Source organism: Homo sapiens, chromosome 19 (genome assembly GCF_000001405.40).
Source record: "Homo sapiens chromosome 19, GRCh38.p14 Primary Assembly".
Classification (NCBI taxonomy): Eukaryota; Metazoa; Chordata; class Mammalia; order Primates; family Hominidae; genus Homo; species Homo sapiens.
Window position 1 is genome coordinate 41,873,327 of NC_000019.10, and position 20,195 is coordinate 41,893,521.

The 20,195-nt window shown below is 55.9% G+C and overlaps 2 protein-coding genes across 17 annotated transcripts in view, besides 9 other annotated features; both read left to right on the plus strand.

Annotated features, from left to right (window-relative positions):
• Nucleotides 33-282: an enhancer, noted in NCBI's record as "active region_14686". NCBI's record gives its function as "activates an Ori minimal core promoter by ATAC-STARR-seq in GM12878 lymphoblastoid cells {active_cell/tissue: GM12878}" and the evidence as "EXISTENCE:reporter gene assay evidence [ECO:0000049][PMID:35858748]".
• Nucleotides 2,618-2,687: an enhancer, noted in NCBI's record as "active region_14687". NCBI's record gives its function as "activates an Ori minimal core promoter by ATAC-STARR-seq in GM12878 lymphoblastoid cells {active_cell/tissue: GM12878}" and the evidence as "EXISTENCE:reporter gene assay evidence [ECO:0000049][PMID:35858748]".
• Nucleotides 3,953-8,046, plus strand: CD79A (CD79a molecule). Of its 2 annotated transcripts, none has more exons than NM_001783.4 (5): nucleotides 3,953-4,057; nucleotides 5,664-5,963; nucleotides 6,209-6,327; nucleotides 7,344-7,412; nucleotides 7,541-8,046. In NM_001783.4, the coding sequence occupies exons 1-5, from the start codon at nucleotides 3,979-3,981 to the stop codon at nucleotides 7,652-7,654; spliced, it is 681 nt and encodes a 226-aa protein (NP_001774.1). In that variant the 5' UTR covers nucleotides 3,953-3,978; the 3' UTR covers nucleotides 7,655-8,046. The 2 variants fall into 2 exon arrangements, with proteins under 2 accessions (NP_001774.1, NP_067612.1); NM_021601.4 differs by having other exon boundaries at nucleotides 5,664-5,849.
• Nucleotides 4,095-4,154: a silencer, noted in NCBI's record as "silent region_10674". NCBI's record gives its function as "represses an Ori minimal core promoter by ATAC-STARR-seq in GM12878 lymphoblastoid cells {active_cell/tissue: GM12878}" and the evidence as "EXISTENCE:reporter gene assay evidence [ECO:0000049][PMID:35858748]".
• Nucleotides 9,543-10,052: a silencer, noted in NCBI's record as "silent region_10675". NCBI's record gives its function as "represses an Ori minimal core promoter by ATAC-STARR-seq in GM12878 lymphoblastoid cells {active_cell/tissue: GM12878}" and the evidence as "EXISTENCE:reporter gene assay evidence [ECO:0000049][PMID:35858748]".
• Nucleotides 9,858-20,195, plus strand: part of ARHGEF1 (Rho guanine nucleotide exchange factor 1) — a 46,958-nt gene continuing 36,620 nt past the window's right edge. For 6 of the 15 annotated variants that reach the window (NR_173092.1, XM_047439662.1, XM_047439664.1 and 3 more), the window contains exons 1-8: nucleotides 9,858-11,167; nucleotides 14,738-14,780; nucleotides 14,866-14,952; nucleotides 15,426-15,539; nucleotides 18,699-18,797; nucleotides 19,005-19,047; nucleotides 19,277-19,523; nucleotides 19,948-19,977. Coding sequence is in view for 13 of the 15 variants with exons in the window: in XM_047439662.1 (XP_047295618.1) it covers nucleotides 11,142-11,167; nucleotides 14,738-14,780; nucleotides 14,866-14,952; nucleotides 15,426-15,539; nucleotides 18,699-18,797; nucleotides 19,005-19,047; nucleotides 19,277-19,523; nucleotides 19,948-19,977 (689 nt within the window). In the remaining 2 variants the exon portion in view is untranslated. The remainder of the gene's footprint in view (nucleotides 11,168-14,737; nucleotides 14,781-14,865; nucleotides 14,953-15,425; nucleotides 15,540-18,698; nucleotides 18,798-19,004; nucleotides 19,048-19,276; nucleotides 19,524-19,947; nucleotides 19,978-20,195) is intronic. The other 9 variants (NR_173093.1, NM_001396003.1, NM_001396000.1 and 6 more) reach the window with 3 other exon arrangements.
• Nucleotides 10,917-11,066: a silencer, noted in NCBI's record as "fragment chr19:42388310-42388459 (GRCh37/hg19 assembly coordinates)". NCBI's record gives its function as "represses an EF-1alpha promoter that drives an FKBP-Casp9 reporter gene in an ReSE screen in K562 erythroleukemia cells {active_cell/tissue: K562}" and the evidence as "EXISTENCE:reporter gene assay evidence [ECO:0000049][PMID:32094911]".
• Nucleotides 10,917-11,142: a biological region, named in NCBI's record as "ReSE screen-validated silencer GRCh37_chr19:42388310-42388459".
• Nucleotides 10,933-11,142: an enhancer, noted in NCBI's record as "active region_14688". NCBI's record gives its function as "activates an Ori minimal core promoter by ATAC-STARR-seq in GM12878 lymphoblastoid cells {active_cell/tissue: GM12878}" and the evidence as "EXISTENCE:reporter gene assay evidence [ECO:0000049][PMID:35858748]".
• Nucleotides 14,181-14,240: an enhancer, noted in NCBI's record as "active region_14689". NCBI's record gives its function as "activates an Ori minimal core promoter by ATAC-STARR-seq in GM12878 lymphoblastoid cells {active_cell/tissue: GM12878}" and the evidence as "EXISTENCE:reporter gene assay evidence [ECO:0000049][PMID:35858748]".
• Nucleotides 14,281-14,330: an enhancer, noted in NCBI's record as "active region_14690". NCBI's record gives its function as "activates an Ori minimal core promoter by ATAC-STARR-seq in GM12878 lymphoblastoid cells {active_cell/tissue: GM12878}" and the evidence as "EXISTENCE:reporter gene assay evidence [ECO:0000049][PMID:35858748]".

Below are 20,195 nucleotides of genomic sequence, written 5' to 3' on the forward strand. Positions count from 1 at the left end.
ACTGGGGAGCAGTAGAGGGCCTAGAAAGAAGCTCAGCCACCGAAGGCTCTTGAAGGTGAATTCCTAGGGCTTCCAGGTCTGGAGCCAGGCTTATTCCTGGGAGGGGGTTGTAACGGGGAATTGAAGTGCAGAGGGGCTAGTGACCCCAGCAGAACACCTGGGGTCCTGGTTCCCAGGGCTACAGAACTGTCCTAGATACTGTGCCAAATGCACTGCAGAATATTCTTGCAGTCTTATCAAGTGGGGGGTTTGTACCCATGTTATAGGAGAAAAAACTGAGTTTCAGATGACCAGTCAGTTGGCAGAGCTGAGTTGTAAAAGAATCCTGGACTCTTGAGGCCCAGGCTCTTCTGCGTGGATGGGAATTGCCCTTTTCCCATCTCCTGGGTTCACGCCATTCTGCCTCAGCCTCCCCAGCAGCTGGGACTACAGGCACACGCCGCCATGCCCGGCTAATTTTTGTATTTTTAGTAGAGACGGGGTTTCACTGTGTTAGCCAGGATGGTTTTGATCTCCTGACCTTCTGATCCGCCCGCCTCAGCCTCCCAAAGTGTTGGGATTACAGGCGTGAGCCACCGCGCCCAGCTGGCAATTGCACTTTTTTAAAATTCTGCACTCTAGGAGGCAGAGGTGGGCAGATCACTTGAGGTCAAGAGTTTGAGACCTTGGCCTGGAGTGGTGGCTCACACCTGTAATCCCAACACTTGGAGAGGCCGAGGCAGGTGGATCACCTGAGGTCAGAAGTTCGAGACCAGCCTGGCCAACATGATGGAACCCTGTCTCTACTAAAAAATACAAAAATTAGCTGGACGTGGAGGCAGGAGAATCGCTTGAATGCAGGAAGTGGAGGTCACAGTGAGCCAAGATTGCACCATTGTACTCCAGTCTGGGCGACAAGAGTGAAACACCGTCTCAAAAAAAAAAAAAAAAAAGAGTTTGAGACCAGCCTGGCCAACATGGTGAAACCCTGTGTCTATGAAAAAAAAAATTGGCTGGGCATGGTGGTGCACACCTGTAATTCCAGCTACTTGGGAGGCTGAGACAGGAGAACAGCTTGAACCCAGGAGGCGGAGGCTGCAGTGAGCCAAGATTGTGCCGCCACTGCACTTCAGCCTGGGCAACAGAGCAAGACTCCATCTCAAAAAAAAAAATCTGAAATACTTCAGGCATGCAAGTATTTAGCATTCAGTATTCATAATGTAAGAAAAACCTATGAAGCACAACCCAGTTTAAGTAACACAGGCAGGGCAGGGTGCAGTGCCTATAATCCCAGCACTTCGGGAGGCCAAGCTGGGAGAATCACTTGAGGTCAGGACTTCCAGGCCAGCCTGGGCAACACAGTGAGACCCTGTCTTTACAAAAAATTTAAAAAATAGGCCCAGTGCGGTGGATCATGCCTGTAATCCCAGCACTTTGGGAGGCCGAGGCGAGTGGATCATCAGGTCAGGAGATTGAGACCATCCTGGCTAACACGGTGAAACCCCATCTCTACTAAAAAAATACAAAAAATTAGCCGGTCATGGTGGCATCTGCTTGTAGTCCCAGCTACTCAGGAGGCTGAGGCAGGAGAATCACTTGAACCCGGGAGGCGGAGGTTGCAGTGAGCCAAGATCACACCATCGCACTCCAGCCTGGGCTACACAGCGAGACTCTGTCTCAAAAGAAAAAAAAAATTAAAAATAGCCAGGCATGGTGTGTGCACCTGTAATCCCAGCTACTTGGGAAGCTGAGGCAAGAGAATCACTTGAGCCCAGGAGTTTGACGTTATGATTATGCCACTGGACACCAGCCTTGGTGACAGAGAGAGGCCCTATCTCTAAAAAAGAAAAAAAAAAAAGTGGCCAGCCACGGTGGCTCCCGCCTGTAATCCCAGCACTTTGGGAGGCTGAGGTGGGTGGATTACCTGAGGTCAGGAGTGTGAGACCAGCCTGCCCAACATGGTGAAACCTGGTCTCTACTAAAAATACAAAAATATAGCCAGGCATGGTGGTGGCCGCCTGTAATCCCAGCTACTGAGGAGGCTGAGGCAGGAGAATCACTTGAACCTGGGAGGCAGAGGTTGCAGTGAGCCAAGATCACGCCACTGCACTTCAGCCTGGGTGACAAAGCGAGACTCCGTCTCAAAAAAAAAAAAAAAAAAAGTAACACAGGAAATAAAACCAAGACAAGATGAGCTCTCTGTGTCTCTGTGTGTCCCTCCCCAGACCCAACCCTGGCGTCCCCCAGAGGTAACCCCTCCCAGGAACTGGGCGTTTGCCACTCCCCTGCACGGGTCTACACCTCTGCTACAAACGTGTGTCCCTAAGCAGCGGACGCCTTTTGAAAACAAGTCAACTGTATCATGCTACGATATTTTTTCTGATGTTTGTGCTGTTTCTGAGACAGCCTTATGACACCTTCCCCTATTCTGTAGCATTCTGTTGGCTCACTTTGCCACAGTGTATGCACCCATTCTCCCACAAATGGACTTTTCATTTGCTTCTCAATGTTTGCTACCAAAAATCTCCCTGCAATAAATTTATTTTATATATCCCCTTGTATGTGTGTGAGGGTCCCCTAACTGCTCACAAATATCTCAGCAACTCCGCCCTCCCCACTCAGACCTCATTTCCCTCCTACCAGACATGCTCAAAGGAAACTGGGAGCAACACAAAGATGACTTTGAATCTCTGTCCACCACCCCTAGACTGTATGACACCCGCAAGTGACAACCTCCCCTCTCTGGCCTCGGTTTCCCCCTCTGTAAAATGGGGGATGGCCTACCTTGCCAGTCATGGCAGGTCAATATAAAACAACTTCTGGCTGTGCACAGTGGCACATGCCTGTAATCCCAGCACTTTGGGAAGCTGAGGCAGGAGGATTGCTTGAGGCCAGGAGTTCAAGACCAGCCTGGGCAATATAGCAAGATCCCATCCCTCTTAAAAAAAAAAAAGAAGAAAAATATATGTTGTTGTTGTTATTATTGTTATTATTAGAGACAGAGTTTCGCTTTTGTCACCCAGGCTGGAGTGCAATGGTGTGATCTCAGCTCACTGCAACCTCCACCTCCTGGGTTCAACTGATTCTCCTGCCTCAGCCTCCTGAGTAGCTGGAATAATAGGCATGTGCCACAACATCTGGCTAATTTTGTATTTTTAGTAGAGATGGGGTTTCGCCATGTTGGCCAGGCTGGTCTCAAACTCGACCTCAGGTGATTCTCCTGTCTCAGCCTCCCAAAGGGCTGGGATTACAGGCATAAGCCACCATAGCTGGCCTGTTTTTTTAAAAAAAGAATTCCAGTAAAGAGCTGATCATGGTTCTCACTCCTTGAATACCAGGAACACCATCTCGTATCACATAATGAGACAGGGAGACATTCTGGTCCTCATCTCACAGATGAAAAATGTCAAGCTTCGAAGGATCAAAGTGCCCACCTAGTCACACGGGTAGTCAGCCACAGGTCAGCCTGCCTTATTTATTCTTCATGAGTATTTATAGTGACTAACATTTACTGGGCGCCTACTGTGGGCCATTTCTGTGCATGTGACAACCCCTTTAAGTCCTTGTTTCTAATCCCAAGAAGCAAGGAAATGGGGTCAGGGAAGGGACAAGGTTTGCCCAAGTCCAGGCAGGGGGAGAGGTCAAGCTCAGAACCATCACCTGCCCATGACACATGCCCAGGACTCAGGTTCCCTAGGCTTCCTTCCAAAGGCTCAGCAGTGACGAGCCAGCCCTTGAACCAGCCTCTTCCCCCACCCAAGCAGCCACCTCTCAGGGGAATTGTGGCCACCACAGGTGCAGGGAGCAGTTTCTCTCCACTCACAGCCTGAAGCATACCCGGCAGGGGCTGTCCCCAGGCCCAACAAGCAAAGGGCCCAGTAGCGAGGGCCACTGGAGCCCATCTCCGGGGGGCTGGGCAGGAAGTAGGGTGGGGTTTGGGGTAGGGATCTGGTACCCTGGGACTGCTGCAACTCAAACTAACCAACCCACTGGGAGAAGATGCCTGGGGGTCCAGGAGTCCTCCAAGCTCTGCCTGCCACCATCTTCCTCCTCTTCCTGCTGTCTGCTGTCTACCTGGGTATGTGGCCAAAGGGCAGGAACTGGCGGGAGGTGGGGGAAGCTGTGGAGGCTGCAGAGAGGGCACAGGCAGAGGGAAGGGGGCTCAGGGAAAGGGGAAGAGGAGGCAGAGGATAGGGGACCCAGGGAAGATGCCTATAGAAATCGTATCTGTGCCAAGATGGGCCAAGGTGGGGCTGGAGGGAGCCCAGCGAAGGAGAAGGGGCGTCCACAGTCTCACACAGGGAGGCAGGAGCAAGAGTCACCTCCCCCACCTCCTGTTCCCCACAGGCCAAAATAAGGAACTAAAGTTGCTCTTGACTGAGCACCAGGGCTGGGGGCAGGAAGGGGACTTAGGGGTAGCAGCATTCAGCGTCTGTCAAGGGGAGAAAAAGCTTTCTCTGCCTTAAACCTCAGGTGCCTCTCTCTGTTGGGAGTCCCTTCTCAGCACTGGGGGAATGGGTGTCTCATGGACTCCCCCTCACCTGCTCAAGGACAGCTGGCAGGGGCTGTGGCCACGCTAACCCAGGAGTTCAGAGAAAAAGGTTCCCCACCCAAGGGGACACTGGGAGCAAGGATTGGAGTTCACGTCTGAGTCTTAAGCCCGTGACGATGAGGGTGCTCGGCCCCTCTCCCCATCTCTTCCTCCTTCTCTCTTCCTCACCTCCCTCCTCCACCTACCTCCAGAAGAGGGGACTGGCCATGTGGGAGGCCTGGCTGAGAGCTGGGGCTTCCCAGAGGAGCCCGGATTGGACACTGCAGCCAGCCTGAGCCGCCTCGTCTCACTCAGAGACACCCCCAGTCTCCACCCCGCTCTGAGCCCCTTCAATCACCAGCAGCCCAGCCCAAGGACTGAACTCACCCCTGACCCCTAGGTTGACACATACAACTTACAGAGAATGAGGGCCAGGCACAGGGTCACAGGCCAGGGCAGGCCACAGACTGGCTCCTCAGCCCAGGCAGGGAGAGGCCAGGGAGCCAAGAGTTTGAACCCAGTGCCACTCCTGACTGCCTGGTGATGCTGGCAACCCGCCTGCCCTCCCAGAGCCTCAGCCATCCCTCCTGTAAAATGGGGCTAAGGAGAGAACCTACTTCTAGGGTTCTGTGAATGATTACACAAGAAAAAGCGCCAGGTGCTGGGCCTGGCTGAGGCTGGGGTGCAAAAATGGACCGGGAAGGCTGCGGGAGGAGGGGACGCCTGCACTGCTTCTGGAAGGAGCTGTCTGGACAGCGGTCCTCCAGTGCCTGGAACAAACATCCAAAATCCAGAGAGTTCACAGGGCCAGAGTACAAAGTGGGTATGCGGGAGGGGGGCAAGAGATGGCGCTGCAGAGGTGAGAAGGGCCTCCCAGGGGTCTTACCATCCCAGGGAGTCTCATTCTCCTCTCCCAGGATATCCTCACCCACCCCAACCAGGTATGTCCTCTCTCCTTCCCAGGGGCTTCTTCACTTTCCCGCATCCCCCCTCTCCCCAGGATGTATCAGCCCCTGTCAGGGGCTCTCTCTCTCCCTCCCCACCCAGGAGAGTCCTCACCCTCTTCCCAGGAGTGCTGGAACTGCAGGGGCCAGGGCTGGGGAAATGTGTCACCATCCCCAGTCCCTGACCCACCCACCCTGTCTCTCCACAGGCCCTGGGTGCCAGGCCCTGTGGATGCACAAGGTCCCAGCATCATTGATGGTGAGCCTGGGGGAAGACGCCCACTTCCAATGCCCGCACAATAGCAGCAACAACGCCAACGTCACCTGGTGGCGCGTCCTCCATGGCAACTACACGTGGCCCCCTGAGTTCTTGGGCCCGGGCGAGGACCCCAATGGTACGCTGATCATCCAGAATGTGAACAAGAGCCATGGGGGCATATACGTGTGCCGGGTCCAGGAGGGCAACGAGTCATACCAGCAGTCCTGCGGCACCTACCTCCGCGTGCGCCGTGAGTGGCCCAGCCCTGGCCCCTACTCCCACTGTCCCGCTGGGGACACTCGGTTTATCTTTGAAGTGGGGATAGAGCCAGTACCTTCAATGTGGGTTTCAAACCGGCTTGGACAGAGGGACGGACATTCTCCTCTGCAGAGTGGGGTCTCTGGGGGGTCTGGGGCCTTGCAGGAGGTGGGCGGGGCCAGGAGGCTAGGGAGGGCAAGAGGGGCCAGGGCTCTGAGCCATACTACCTCCTTGCAGAGCCGCCCCCCAGGCCCTTCCTGGACATGGGGGAGGGCACCAAGAACCGAATCATCACAGCCGAGGGGATCATCCTCCTGTTCTGCGCGGTGGTGCCTGGGACGCTGCTGCTGTTCAGGGTGAGCCCCCTCGGACCTCTGAGTCAGCCGGGCGAGGGCCTGGGCCGAGGGACCCCCAATACCCAGGTAGCCCTCTAGAGCCTGAGGTTCCCCATCCAAAACTTGGGAGAATGAAAGCACCCACCATATAGGGGCTGTGGGAGTTAAATGAATGAATATAAAGAAGGGACTTGAACTGGCGCTGAGCCCAGGGGGTGTCTTCAATTTAGTTTCCCCTTCTGGGCTGTCCTCACGTCCACCTCCCCCCAAGAAGAGTCTCATTCTTCTCCCTAAGAGTGTCCTCACTCCCCTCCTGCCCTCACCCAGGAGTGTGGTTACCCTCCAGGTGTAGCCAAGACCAGGGAAGGTGGGGCCTGGTCCTCCCAGAATCTCTGATCTGTACCAGCCTCTCCTTAGGCACTACAGAAAGTGTGACTGTTATTGTTATTATTCATGGAGAATAGTAAGGGAGTGGAGACTCAAGAAGACGCTAGCTTGGGAGGCCGAGGCAAGAGGATCACTTGAGGCCACAAGTTTGAGACCAGCCTGGGCAACACAGCAAGACCCTATCTCTACACACACAAAGTCTTAAAAAAAAATTAGCCAGGCATGGTGGCACACACCTATAGTCCCAGCTACTCAGGAGGCTGAGGTGGGAGGATTGCTTGAGCCCAGGAGTTCAAGGCTGCAGTGAAATATGATGTTGCCACAGCACTTCAGCCTGGGCAACTGAGGGAGAAGAAAGAGAGAGAGAGAGAAAGAGAGAGAGAGAGAGAGAGAGAGAGAGAGGGCGAGAGGGAGGGAGGGAAGGAAGGGAAGGGAAGGAAGGAAGGAAGGAAGGAAGGAAGGAAGGAAGGAAGGAAGGAAGGAAGGAGAACACTGGTTGTAGACTCAGAGAGAACTGTTACATAACCAGTATGTGGCCTTGGGGACATCTCTTACCCTTTCTGGAAAAGTACTTCCTGGCATCCAGGAGGGTCTGAAAGATATTCACCTCCCCCTGCTCACTGAGGCACCCACCCCACCCACCCCTACAGAAACGATGGCAGAACGAGAAGCTCGGGTTGGATGCCGGGGATGAATATGAAGATGAAAACCTTTATGAAGTGAGTGAAGGGTGGGGATGGGGTAGGGGCAGTTGTGTTAGGGGTGGGGGTGTTCCCTCTGGGGGTGGCTGGGGGCAGGGACCCCAGGTGTCAGGGTGCTGATGTTCGCTGCCTCATTTCCATCCCAGGGCCTGAACCTGGACGACTGCTCCATGTATGAGGACATCTCCCGGGGCCTCCAGGGCACCTACCAGGATGTGGGCAGCCTCAACATAGGAGATGTCCAGCTGGAGAAGCCGTGACACCCCTACTCCTGCCAGGCTGCCCCCGCCTGCTGTGCACCCAGCTCCAGTGTCTCAGCTCACTTCCCTGGGACATTCTCCTTTCAGCCCTTCTGGGGGCTTCCTTAGTCATATTCCCCCAGTGGGGGGTGGGAGGGTAACCTCACTCTTCTCCAGGCCAGGCCTCCTTGGACTCCCCTGGGGGTGTCCCACTCTTCTTCCCTCTAAACTGCCCCACCTCCTAACCTAATCCCCCCGCCCCGCTGCCTTTCCCAGGCTCCCCTCACCCCAGCGGGTAATGAGCCCTTAATCGCTGCCTCTAGGGGAGCTGATTGTAGCAGCCTCGTTAGTGTCACCCCCTCCTCCCTGATCTGTCAGGGCCACTTAGTGATAATAAATTCTTCCCAACTGCAGACCTTGGCAGGAGTCGTGGATCTTACGGGAACCGCCTCTCCCACATGTCCCTCAGACCCAGGAGTCCCAGCCCAAGCCACTCCCTGCCCACTCCCCACACCTGGGACCAGGTAGCCAGTCTGGGCTGCCCTCCTGGGAGAACAAGATGTCTCTTGGGAAGGTCCCCAGACCAACTGAAGGACTGGTTTGGCCCTCTTTGCAGGGCCTCACCCTAGGGTCATATCCTTAAGCAAGAAGGGGACAAGATCAAGATGGCTGTGGCTACCAAATTACTTACACTTTTTTTTTTTTTTTTTTTTTTGAGACAGAGTCTCACTCTGTTGCCCAGGTTGGAGTGCTCACTGCAACCTCTGCCTCCTGGGTTCAAGCGATTCTCCTGCCTCAGCCTCCCAAGTAGCTGGGATTACAGGCGCCTGCCACCATGCCCAGCTAATTTTTGTATTTTTAGTAGAGGCGGGGTTTCACCATGTTGGCCAGACTGGTCTTGAACCTCTGACCTCAGGTGATCCACCTACCTTGGCCTCCCAAAGTGCTGGGATTACAGGCGCCTGCCACCACGCCCGGCCGCTTTTTTTTTTTTTTTTTTTTTTTTTGAGGCAGAGTCTGACTCTGTCGCCCAGGCTGGAGTGCAGTGGCGCAATCTCAGCCCACTTCAACCTCCACCTCAAGCGATTCTTGTACCTCAGGCTCCCGAGTAGCTGGGATGACAGGCATGTGCTACCACACCCAGCTAATTTTTGTTTTAGTAGAGACAGGGTTTCGCCATGTTGGCCGGGCTGGTCTCGAACTCCTGACCTCAAGTGATCCACCATGCTTCGGCCTCCCAAAGTGCTGGGATTACAGGCATGAGCCACTTTATGCGTATTTAAGCCTTGGAAACACAGGGACTATCTTGTGGATTGGGGCTAGTACAGAATTCAGACTGCAGCCTTTTCCCGATGCGTTGACTTACAGAAGGGGCATTTTGGAGGGTCTGTGGTCCTAACCTGGGGATAGCAGGGAGATCCCGGGGCAATGACAGAGAGGCACAGAGACACGGATTTCCTGAGAAAGGGAGAGGAGAGAGGCTGAGACCCAGGGATCATGAAGGGGACGAGCAAGGGAAGGAAGAGATGATGAGACCCTGGGAATCCGGGAGAGAGACAGGGACGTGGAGAGAAAGGGACAGAGAGAGAGCGAGAAGGAAAGGAAGAGACAGAAGGGAGAAGGGGCAACCGAAAATGGGCACGAAGAGGCCCAGGCACAGCAACAGCTGGGGAAATGACAGAGACTGAGACGGAGATGCAGAAAGATACAGAGAGAGCTGGAGAGGGTAGAGAAGGGCTTTCGGGGAGAAAGTGATGGAGGGACAGAGAGGAGAGGTGGAGGCCAAGGAGGGAAAGACCCCAGTAGAGAAAGACAGAGGGACAGAGAAGGGGATGCAGACGCAGGCGGGAGCACACCCACAGAGGCGAAGGAAGGGCGCAAGACCATGAGAACCACAGACGCGGAAAGCCGGGGAGGTCGTGGCTCGGTCTAGGGCGCACGGGGAGCAGGGCTTGCCCCCCAGCACCTCCGGGGAGGTGACCCCAGCCGGGAGATGCGAGTCCCGCGGAGCCCGCGCCCGGCGGACGGACCGATGGACAAAGCCGGGGAGAGCTCGGGCGCGGCCGGGGCGGGGGCCGGTGCCCGCAGGGACCCGGGCGCAGCGGGGAAAGGAGGGGCGGGCAAGCGGCGAGAAGGGGAAGGAAGCGGAGGTGCCGGGCGGGCGCGGGGCGCGGGCAGGAAGCGGGGAGGGGCGGCGGGGCGGGGGCCTCCGGAAAAACGCCCCGACTTCCTGCCCCGCCAGAGCCAGGAAGCGGGAGCCGGGACCCAGGGCCCGGGATCGCCGAGCCCGACCTCGGGCGCCCCGCCGGTCACCTCCGCGCGGACACCAGGTACTCGGTCCCCGGCCCCGCCCGGCCTCCTCCCCTCGGCTGTTGGGGGAAGTGGGGAGGAGGAGGGAGGGGCTGGGGCGCTGCCGGCAGCGGAGGGGCCCCCTTCGGACCCCACGGAACCAGCGGCCGCCCCTCCTTGGGCCTCAGTTTTCCCATCTGTCAAAGGGAGCAAAGAGGGGAGAACTCACACTTGACGAGTGCCCCATAGGTGGGGACGAACGGTGCGAGGCCGGGGCCAAGGCCTCCCACCTGCTCAGTGGAGAACGGACGATCACTACCATTGTACGGGTGGGGAAACCGAGGCCCGGGGAGCCAAACCGACTCGTCCCAGGGAACGCACATCGTGAGAAAGTGTGGAGTTGGGATTTGAACTCGCACGTGCTTTCCGCAAAGCGCCATCCTCCAACCCCCGCATGCTTTAGGGCCACCTAAAAATGAAAAACAACAATAACAACAACGACGAGGGTCGCTGTGAAGCTGAAAGTTGCAGAGTGCATTTGAAAGAGTTTTCGGAAAGCTCTTTTCTAGGTCATTAATTATACCGTGAGAGACAGGTGTAGGGAGAGAGCTGGAGGCCTTCTCCCATTGTACGGATGGGAAGACTGAGGTCTACAGAGAAGTCATTACTTTTTGCAGATTACACTGCATGTCAGAGGGAAAGTTGTGCTGGAACTCAAGACTATTGCTTTTCCGGTTCCAAAGGAAGGGGCTGGGGGTGGGAGACGGAGGGGATTGATGTACGAGGATTGGAAATTCAGCGGGTCCCCTAAGTGGGGAGACTAATAGGACGGGGAGCCCCAGTCCGCCGTCCGAGTGCTCAGCGCTGGGGTGACTAGGAGATCTCCGATCGAACTCGGGAGGAGTTGGACCCATCTGCACCTCCGGGCGCGGGGCGGGGCCCGGGGAGTGACGGGGGCAGTCGAGATACGGAAACGCTGGCCCTCCAAGACAGGCCAGAGCGGCCCTATCTGGCCTGCGTGGCGCAGTACAGCGCTAGAGCGGCCGGCGGGAGGAGTAGAGTCGTCGGGGCCGGAGCCCGGCAGGAGCCGGGCTAGAGCGGCTGGCAGGAGGAGTGGAGCTGGGCGCAAAGGTGGACTCAGGGCGGCTAGAGCGACGCGGCGGCAGGGGTGGGGAGAGTGCGGAGCCCGAGCGCGGAGGCTTCGGTTCCGGTGGCGGCGATGGCTTCTCTTTCCACCTGGAGCAGGTGAGGGACGCGGTCCCCAGCGGGTGTCAGACCCTGACTCTGCACGTCCTCCCCGGCATCCCTGGCCGTGCACACTGCCACGTCCCCCGTAGGATTTAGGGCCCGCGTAAGACCCGCCACGTCCATGTAAGATTTGGGTCTCGTGTAGACCCGCCTCATTCCGTATAAAGTCTTACAGACCCTCCAGGTTCCTGCCAGCCCCCCATGGAGAACTGGCTTCTTATAGACGTGGGGTCCTCATAGACCAGTGGCATCCCCTAGAATCCGGGGCTCTATAGACCATGGGTCTCGGGACCCACCACGCACCCCTATGGAATTCTGAGTCCCTTTTAAGTCTCCAGAGGTTCCACAGACTGGCAGCTGTCCCTATAGAATCATGATCCTGTATGATCCCTGGATCCTTTAGACCCACTGTGTGTCAAATAGAATCTGGGGAGTTACACATTCCAACGACTCTTTTAGGTTCTTTAAGGCTCCAGAAGTTCTTGGAGACCCTGAGTCACCTGCTCAACACATTATAGACCCTGAGACCTCCATAGAACTCAACACCCATGTGGCCCCCCAACCCATGGACCTTCTAAACCAGCCCTAACCCCCCAGCGCCCCATGCACGCAGTGTTCCCTCTGCTGGACCCCCCAGGCCTTGTCAGTTGCCTATAGATCCATCTATTCTCTGACAGCTTCACCTATAATTCTCCAGCCTTTGTGGGACTCCCCCAAACCCCTCCTCCTAAACAGGCGACACTCCTCGCCTCCATCATCTCCAACCCCCAAGCCTCTGTGGAGCAGCCGTATCCAACTTGCACTCCTGCCTAGGCCATAGTGACCACATACCCGTGACTTTTCCAGGCATCCATAAGAAGACATGATGTGTCTCAGAGCTTTGGTTCAGATTTTAGTTTCTGAAGGGTAGGGTGGGGGCTCCCCATGCTCTGAAGCAATGCTCTCTGTTTTATTTTGTTTTATTTATTTATTTATTTATTTTTGAGACGAAGTCTCACTTCTGTTACCAGGCTGGAGTGCAGTGGCGCGATCTCAGCTCACTGCAACCTCCGCCTCCCGGATTCAAGCGATTCTCCTGCCTCAGCCTCCCGAGTAGCTGGGACTACAGGCTCGTGCCACCACGCCCAGCTAATTTTGGTATTTTTAGTAGAGACAGGGTTTCACTATGTTGGCCAGGATGGTGTCGATCTCTTGACTTCGTGATCCGCCCGCCTTGGTCTCCCAAAGTGCTGGGATTACAGGCGAGAGCCACCGTGCCTAGCCTATTTTATTTTAAGACAAGGTCTCACTCTGTCGCCCAGGCTGGAGGGCAGTGGCACAATTTTGGCTCACTGCAACCTCTGCCTCCTGGGCTCAGGCGATCCTCTCATCTTAGCCTCCCAAGTAGCTATGACTACAGGCATGAACCACCACACCTGGCTATCTTTTGTAGAGATGGGGGTTTCACCATGTTAGCCAGGCTGGTCTCGAACTCCTGAGCTCAAGTGATCCACCTGCCTTGGTCTCCCAAAGTGCTGGGATTACAGGTGTGAGCCACTGTGTCCACCAAATGCAGTTTATTTTAAATGCGTAAACTCTGTAGCCCAACTGCCCAGGTCTGAGTCCTGGTTCTGCCTCTTATGAGCTGTGCCTCAGTTTCCTTCTTTGTTAAATGGAGGTGAGAATAATAATGATCTCTTGGAGTCACCGAGAGGATTAAATGAGTTATTACCTGTCAACCAGCGATGCCATGCCTGGCACATACTAAGTGTCTCTTTTGTGTCAGCTGTCATTTCATTATTATTGTGATAAGGAATAAGGAGATAAGAACTTGGCAAGTGCACAGTTCCAGACCTGGCACCAAGCACTTGCAAAGATAATGAGTATCCCCTCCTTTGCCTTTTTAAAATTTCCCTGCCTCAGTTGAGCGTTTCTACCTCTGAGTGGGATGAGCATGCACCCTCCACGTCCGTGGTCATGTTTCATAGTGAGACAGGGTCTCACTGTGTTCCCCAGGCTGGTCTCAAACTCCTGAGCTCAAGCGATCTTCCCACCTTGGCCTCCCAAAGTGCTGGGGTTACAGGCATGAACCACCTCACCTGGCCAGTTTGCAAATTTATTAAAGTGAATGTTTAACAGTACTTGAATCTTGAATTGCCCAAGCTTAGATATTGGACAATACACTTTGTGGGAAATAATAAAAATGATGCCTTCCCCAGGTGGACCCACAGGGTGGCATTTGGACACTCCAGAAAGCATCATTGTTTAATCATCAAAATCCTGGTTACCATTTACTGGGGAGCTAGGGAGGAGGCCCATAAAGCAGGAGAAGGGCGGGTCTCTGCTGGCTTGGGTTATAAATAGCTTTGGGCTGTGGGGAGCCCCGCCGCTGGTCCACCCCACCCCTCTTTCCACAGCTCCTTCCCACCTGACACGGGCTCCGTGGCATTAGTCAGACTAATTAAGGACACAGAAGATGTCGGTGGAAAGACTCAGAGAGAAGTGGAGACTCAAGGAGAGACAAAGATGGGAGAGACAGCAAGAGATGGGGGAGAAAAAGGGATGGAGAGATGAGAGACAGCACATGAGACTGTGACTCAGAGAGGTGTGAGGATGGTGGCTGCAGAAACCAGATGTGGGAGGACAGAGGCACAGAGACAGGGACAGGACAGACGGAGCTACAGAAGCAGGAAGGGGGTGTCACCGCTGAGAGGGAGAGATGGAGGGAGGAGAGGCAGGGATGGTGGGGAAAATGAGACAGTTCTGGAGGAAGGGAAAGAGAAAAATCAGGAAACAGGGTGAAAAGAGACCAAGACATGAGACAGATTCAAGGGACAGACAGCCAAGGAGAGCTGGCTGCGGACAGACCAAGGCGCACGTAGGGTGGAGGGGACAGACGCACCTTGGAGATGGGCTGTCTGAGGCCCCATCACTTGGTTTCTGGGACTGGAAGCCTGGGAAGAGATGAGGTCCCTGGGGGAAAGAAGAACTTCTGGGTTTGGGGACTCCCAGTCCCTGAGGGAGGAGGGTTCTGAGTTTTGTTTTCTTATGTGGAGAGTTGGGGGTTGGGGGTTTGCCATTGTGACTTCCTGTCACAGGAAGTGGGGCTGGTGGGTTCCAAGGCAACATCCTGTCCCAGGCCTGTCACAGACCAGAGGAGACCCCTGCACCCCACTTCTCTCCCGCCTCTCCTCTAACCCTCCCATCCCCTCTTGCCTCTGGGCTGTGCCCTCAGGAATTAGCCCCCAGGCCCCTGGTCCCTCCAACCTGGGAGTCCAGGCCCCCAGCCCCCTCTTCCATTAGGGCATTAGGGACCCCAGATTGCAGGCTGTCAGACTCAGCCTTCCCATGGACCCAGGCTCCTGAGCCTCCAACGCCTGCCCCCGCAAGGCTCCCGTCCCTGGGCTCCCGCCCCCTGGCGGGTCTCTGAAGGGCTCTTTGTGGCCACACAGAGGCCCCATTGAGCTGCGGAGGCTGGGATGGGGGAGGCTGTTTACTCACCTTCACACCTGGGCCAGGAATCTGTGAGTAACCACCCTGGGCCGCCTCCTCCCACCCTCCTAACCACAGCCCCTCCTCTTCCTCCAGCCCTGCAGAGCCCAGGGAGATGGAAGACTTCGCCCGAGGGGCGGTGAGTGGACAGAGCAAGGGGTGAGGCGACTCTGGGGCTGTGGGTGGAGAGTCCTGTGGACTGAAGCTGCCCTCCCTTTCCACAGGCCTCCCCAGGCCCCTCCCGGCCTGGCCTGGTTCCCGTCAGCATCATCGGGGCTGAGGATGAGGATTTTGAGAACGAGCTGGAGACAGTGAGTGGGAGATAGGGTGGAAAAGCTCTGTCCCAGGCTCAGTGTCCCGCCCCAGGTCCCCTCCCACCTGCAGATGCTGTCTTCTTGGCCTTTTCCCACGGTCTGTCTCATCCTCTCATCTCCCTGGTACCTCCTTCCTCACCTCGCCGACCCCACACAGCAGCATAGACGCCCACCCTTCTTACTCTTAACCCCATTTCTTATCGTTGCTCTCTCCTCCCCCAGCATGGACCCCAATTTCTTCTCTCCTAATTTCTGTCCTCATCATCCACCATTATAATATTAAGTCTCATCCATTCTCCCTGAACACCTGCCCTTGCTGTCACCATCATTTTTTGGACACTGTCACCACTCCCCACTTCCCAGGAGCTAACCCTGGCTTGGATCCCTTGTGAAGTGCCAGGAATGGGTAGGGTCAACCCTAAGGCCCCTCCTCTTCTCCCCATTGTACTCACCCCTTCCTGCACCCCCAGAACTCAGAAGAGCAAAACAGCCAGTTCCAGAGCCTGGAGCAGGTGAAGCGGCGCCCAGCCCACCTCATGGCCCTCCTGCAGCACGTGGCCCTGCAGTTTGAGCCAGGACCCCTGGTGAGGGCAGGGCTGGGTGGGCACAGGGAGGGGTGGGGCTGGGACAGGCACAGCTTTTAGCGAATTAAACCAGCGAGCTAGTGCCTGGAGGGTCTGGAAAAGCAGATCTAGAACACAGAGAGCCAGATCTAGAAAGAGAGAATGCTTTAGACAAGAGCCAGAAAGCATGCCACGTGACCTCAACAGGCTTACAAGTGCCCAGGGTAGATCTCAGTGCGCAGCGGGCAGGGTACACACGTCAGGACCCCGCGGAGCCACAGAGAGTCCAGCAGCCTGGCAGAAACCACATCCCATCCCACTCTGTGCCTGTGGCAGCGCCCCCATCAGCCTGTGGCAGCACCTTTCCGTGAACTCTAGGGGACCAAATTCTTCTCTCCAAAGCCTTTTTGGCAGATGCCAGCACGCAGTCATTCACGGTTGATGGTTGGGAAAAAGAAGCTGTTAGCCATCCCAGGTCTAGGGAGCACAGCAGGCCCTGATCTGGAAACAAGAAAACCACCACACACAGCTCACAAGGCAGACCACACAATTGTGGATCCAGAAGCCTCCGGATGAGGCAGAAGATACCTGGGAGATGTGGATGGACAACCGTGCCATCCAGAAACACCCGCAGAGTCTAGAAAACCCAGCAGGTGATTTAGAAAGGGAGAGGCCACAGTGCTGGCTGGCAGGGGATCTGTAGACAAGGGTCTCATCCCAAGAAGACCCCGTCCAGCCCAGCACAGGATAGGAGGACAGCCTGGGGACAGCCAGGGCACTGCACCATGTGGACATGCATAGTGGACCCCTCCAGAAAACAAGGAAACCGATAGAGTGGGGAGAAGTGCCCGAGGCATGCAGAAAGAAGAACATGTCAGCTGCAAGACCAGAGGCTGGTCATCCGGACGCCAAACCATCAGATATGCAGAAAATTAGGAAATTGCAGTCTTTCCCCTGTCTACATTCTCTTTCCAGAAGAGTGGTTCCCCCGACAACCACATGCACGGAGACTCTGGCCCTCTGAGCAAGGGAGTCCCCTATTCAAGCCTTGGGGTTTCTAGAACACCAGATTGTGGACATCAGCCCAGGGATCGTGCTGACTACCATGTTCTTTTACAGATGTGGAAACCGAGGCCTAGAGAGGGTCAGGGACTTGCCTGAGGTGACCCCGGCGGCCTCTGGGCATTTTGAGGTTTATTCTCGCATAGCTCCCTCACCTCATCAGCTTGTGGGGAGCCGATCAGAGATAGCTGTGGTCCCCTGGGCAGCTTCCTGTTGGCCTGTCTTAGAATTTTGCTATATTTGGGGGGTGTGAAGAGTGGATATAGATGTGTTAAAACTGTTTAAAGTGGAGAAGGAGGACCGGGCCTGGTGGTTCATGACTGTAGTCCCAACGCTTTGGGAGGCTGAGGCAGGAGGATAGCTTGAGCCTGGGAGGTTGAGGCTGCAGTGATTGCACCACTGCACTCCAGCCTGGGCGACAAGAGTGAAACCCTGTCTTGAAAAAAAAAAAAAAGTGGGGCCGGGCATGGTGGCTCACACCTATAATCCCAGAACTTTGGAGGCTGAGGTGGGTAGATCACTTGAGATCAAGAGTTCGAGACCAGCGTGGCCAACATGGTAAAACCCCGTCTCTACTAAAAATATGAAAATTGGCCAGGCGCAGTGACTCACGCATATAATCCCAGCACTTTGGGAGGCTGAGGCAGGTGGATCACCCGACGTCAGGAGTTCAAGACCAGCCTGGCCAACATGGTGAAATCCCATCTCTACTAAAATAGAAAAATTAGCCAGGCACAGTGGTACACACCTGTAATTCCAGCTACTCGGGAGGCTGAGGCAGGAGACTCACTTGAACCTGGGAGGTGGTGGTTGCAATGAGCCGAGATTGCACCATTGCACTCCAGCCTAGGCGGAAAAAAAAAAAAAAAATTAGCCAGGCCTGGTGGTAGGCACCTGTAATCCAAGCTACTCCAGAGGCTGAGGCAGGAGAATCGCTTGAACCCAGGAGGAGGTTGCAGTGAGCCGAGATCACGCCACTGCACTCCAGCCTGGGTGACAGAGCGAGACTCCATCTCAAAAAAGAAAAAGGAGAAAAAGTCCCACTCCCATTGGAGTGAGTTCATTTCCCAGATGAGAGCCCCCAGGAGCCAGGACAGGTTGGAGTCCCCACTGTCACCCAGAACAGGGGCGGGCACTCAGGAAATGCTTGACGAATGACAGAGTGAGCCCCACTTGTCCACCTGTTCTTTCCAAGCCCTCAGTATGCACAAGGCACCACCATCTGGGACACAGATGGATCAACCTACAACACCCCTCAACACACACAAACCCTTAAGCTGCTCACAGTCTTTCCAGGCAGTGGAGTGTAGTAGAGACAGGCTGCCTGGATTCGAATCCTAACTTTGCCACTTAGTAGCTATGTGATTTTGGGTTTTATTTATTTATTTATTTATGAAACAGTCTCGCTCTGTGTCACCCAGGCTGGAGTGCAGTGGCACAATCTCCACTCACTGCAACCTCCATCTCCTGGGTTCAAGCAGTTCTCCCTGCCTCAGCCTCCCGAGTAGCTGGGATCACAGGTGCCCACCACCACACCCGACTAATTTTTTTATTTTTAGTAGAGACAGGGTTTCGCCATGTTGGCCTGGCCGGTCACAAATTCCTGACCTCATGTGATCCACCTGCCTTGGCCTCCCAAAGTGCTGGGATTACAGGTGTGAGCCACTGTGCCTAGCCTAGTTGTGCGACTAAGCTTGACTAAACTTCTTGAGCTCCGTTTTCTCATCTGTAAAATGGGGATAATGACGGTCCCTATGATTGAACACGTTAATGCATGTAGAGGGTGTAGAGCCGTGTCTGGTATACACTAAGCCGTCAGTATAGACAGTAGTAGTAGTTGTTGTCATTATTGCCGGGAGGAGACCATGATGAAGAACCACAAAGGACCATAGCACAGGATGGAAAATTAGAAAATGCTCATGGCAGCCCCAGGGAGCCTGCAGGGGAACCCAGGGCCTGGCTTTAGGGGTGGAGGTCAGGGAGTGCTTCCCAGAGGAAGTGGCAGTTGAGTCCCACAGCCATAGGATGGCCAGGAGGTGAGGAAGGCCCTTTTCAAAGGGAGAGTGTGGTTTGAGGCAGGGTGAGGGAGCGGAGAGTCATGCTGTGTGTCTCCCCCAGCTTTGCTGTCTGCATGCCGACATGCTGGGCTCACTGGGCCCCAAGGAGGCCAAGAAGGCCTTCCTGGACTTCTACCACAGCTTCCTGGAGAAGACAGCGGTGAGAGACCTTCAAGCTGCCCCAACCCTGCAATCCCTGTTTGGGCCTGCAGAGTCACCATGCGGTCCCCAGCCTCTGCCCTGAGGGCAGCTGCTGACCCAGGCCTTCCCCAGCACCCTCGCTTAGACCAGGGTTCCTGGCAGTCCTCCCGGCCTGCATCTCAGCACACCAAGTCCTCCTCTTCACCCCATTCTCTCTCTTGAGCAGGTTCTCCGGGTGCCGGTCCCTCCCAACGTCGCCTTTGAACTTGGTAAGGAGAAGGATGGGATGAGGGAGAGGTGTCTAGCGGGGACCACACCTCCCAGGAGGCCAAGGGGAGGGAGGCCGCACTCCCATGCTCTGCTCGGACAGCCGAGATTCATTCATTCCTTCTTGGCAGCGGCCTCAGGACGTGTGGCTGTTGGAGTCCAAGGGTGGGTGGGGACCGTGGTCCAAGCCACCAGGGAGCTGGACCCTAGCCCCCATGTGTGTCCCTGCAGACCGCACTAGGGCTGACCTCATCTCCGAGGATGTCCAGCGGCGGTTCGTGCAGGAGGTGGTGCAAAGCCAGCAGGTAGCCGTGGGCCGGCAGCTGGAGGACTTCCGTTCCAAGCGGCTCATGGGCATGACGCCCTGGGAGCAGGAGCTGGCCCAGCTGGAGGCTTGGGTTGGGCGGGACCGAGCCAGCTACGAGGCCCGGGAGCGGCACGTGGCGGAGCGGCTGCTCATGCACCTGGAGGAGATGCAGTGAGTAGGCCAGCCCTGGTGGGAGCGTCGCCCCTCCCCAGCACAAGGGCACCCGTGCTACCTCTGGCATGTTCCATCCCGTTTGCAGGTTCCCTCTTCAGGGTCAGAGTTCATTTCTTGGCACTGGGGGTCTTCCTCTACCCTGGTGTTTTAACTCACCTTGAATCCGAGTCTTCCCTTTCCAGCTTTGGGGTTCCCTTGTCATTTCTGGGTCTTGTCCATGATCTGGCACTTGGATCCCATCCTCCTGGATGAGAGACCTCCCTCCCTCTTATGACAGTCCTTCCCAATCCCTTCCACAGTGTCCCCTCTCTGTCTCTCTTCCCCCTGCCTATCCCAGGACAGCAACCCTGAGATGTATCCTGGGTGGATGGGGACCCCAGGCCTAGCAAATATGTCACAAACATCTCTCTTCCTCCTACAGACATACCATCTCTACCGACGAAGAAAAGAGGTGAGGGGGGCAGGGGAGGCGTGCGGCCTCCTGGGTTTGAGGGAGGAGGGGGCTGAGGGCCTGGACTCCTGGGTCTGAGGGAGGAGGAGGCTGGGGGGCCTGGACGCCTGGGTCTGAGGGAGGAGGGGGCTGGGGGGCCTAGACGCCTGGGTCTGAGGGAGGAGGGGGCTGGGGGGCCTGGACGCCTGGGTCTGAGGGAGGAGGGGGCTGGGGGGCCT

What these genes read in the sequence shown, in the direction of transcription:
- CD79A (NM_001783.4), top strand. Translation starts at nt 3,979, where the DNA reads ATGCCTGGGGGTCCAGGAGTCCTCCAAGCTCTGCCTGCCACCATCTTC. An exon ending in CACCTACCTCCGCGTGCGCC is followed by an intron (nt 5,964 to 6,208) that starts GTGAGTGGCCCA and finishes ACCTCCTTGCAG; the next exon opens with AGCCGCCCCCCAGGCCCTTC. An exon ending in AAGATGAAAACCTTTATGAA is followed by an intron (nt 7,413 to 7,540) that starts GTGAGTGAAGGG and finishes TTTCCATCCCAG; the next exon opens with GGCCTGAACCTGGACGACTG.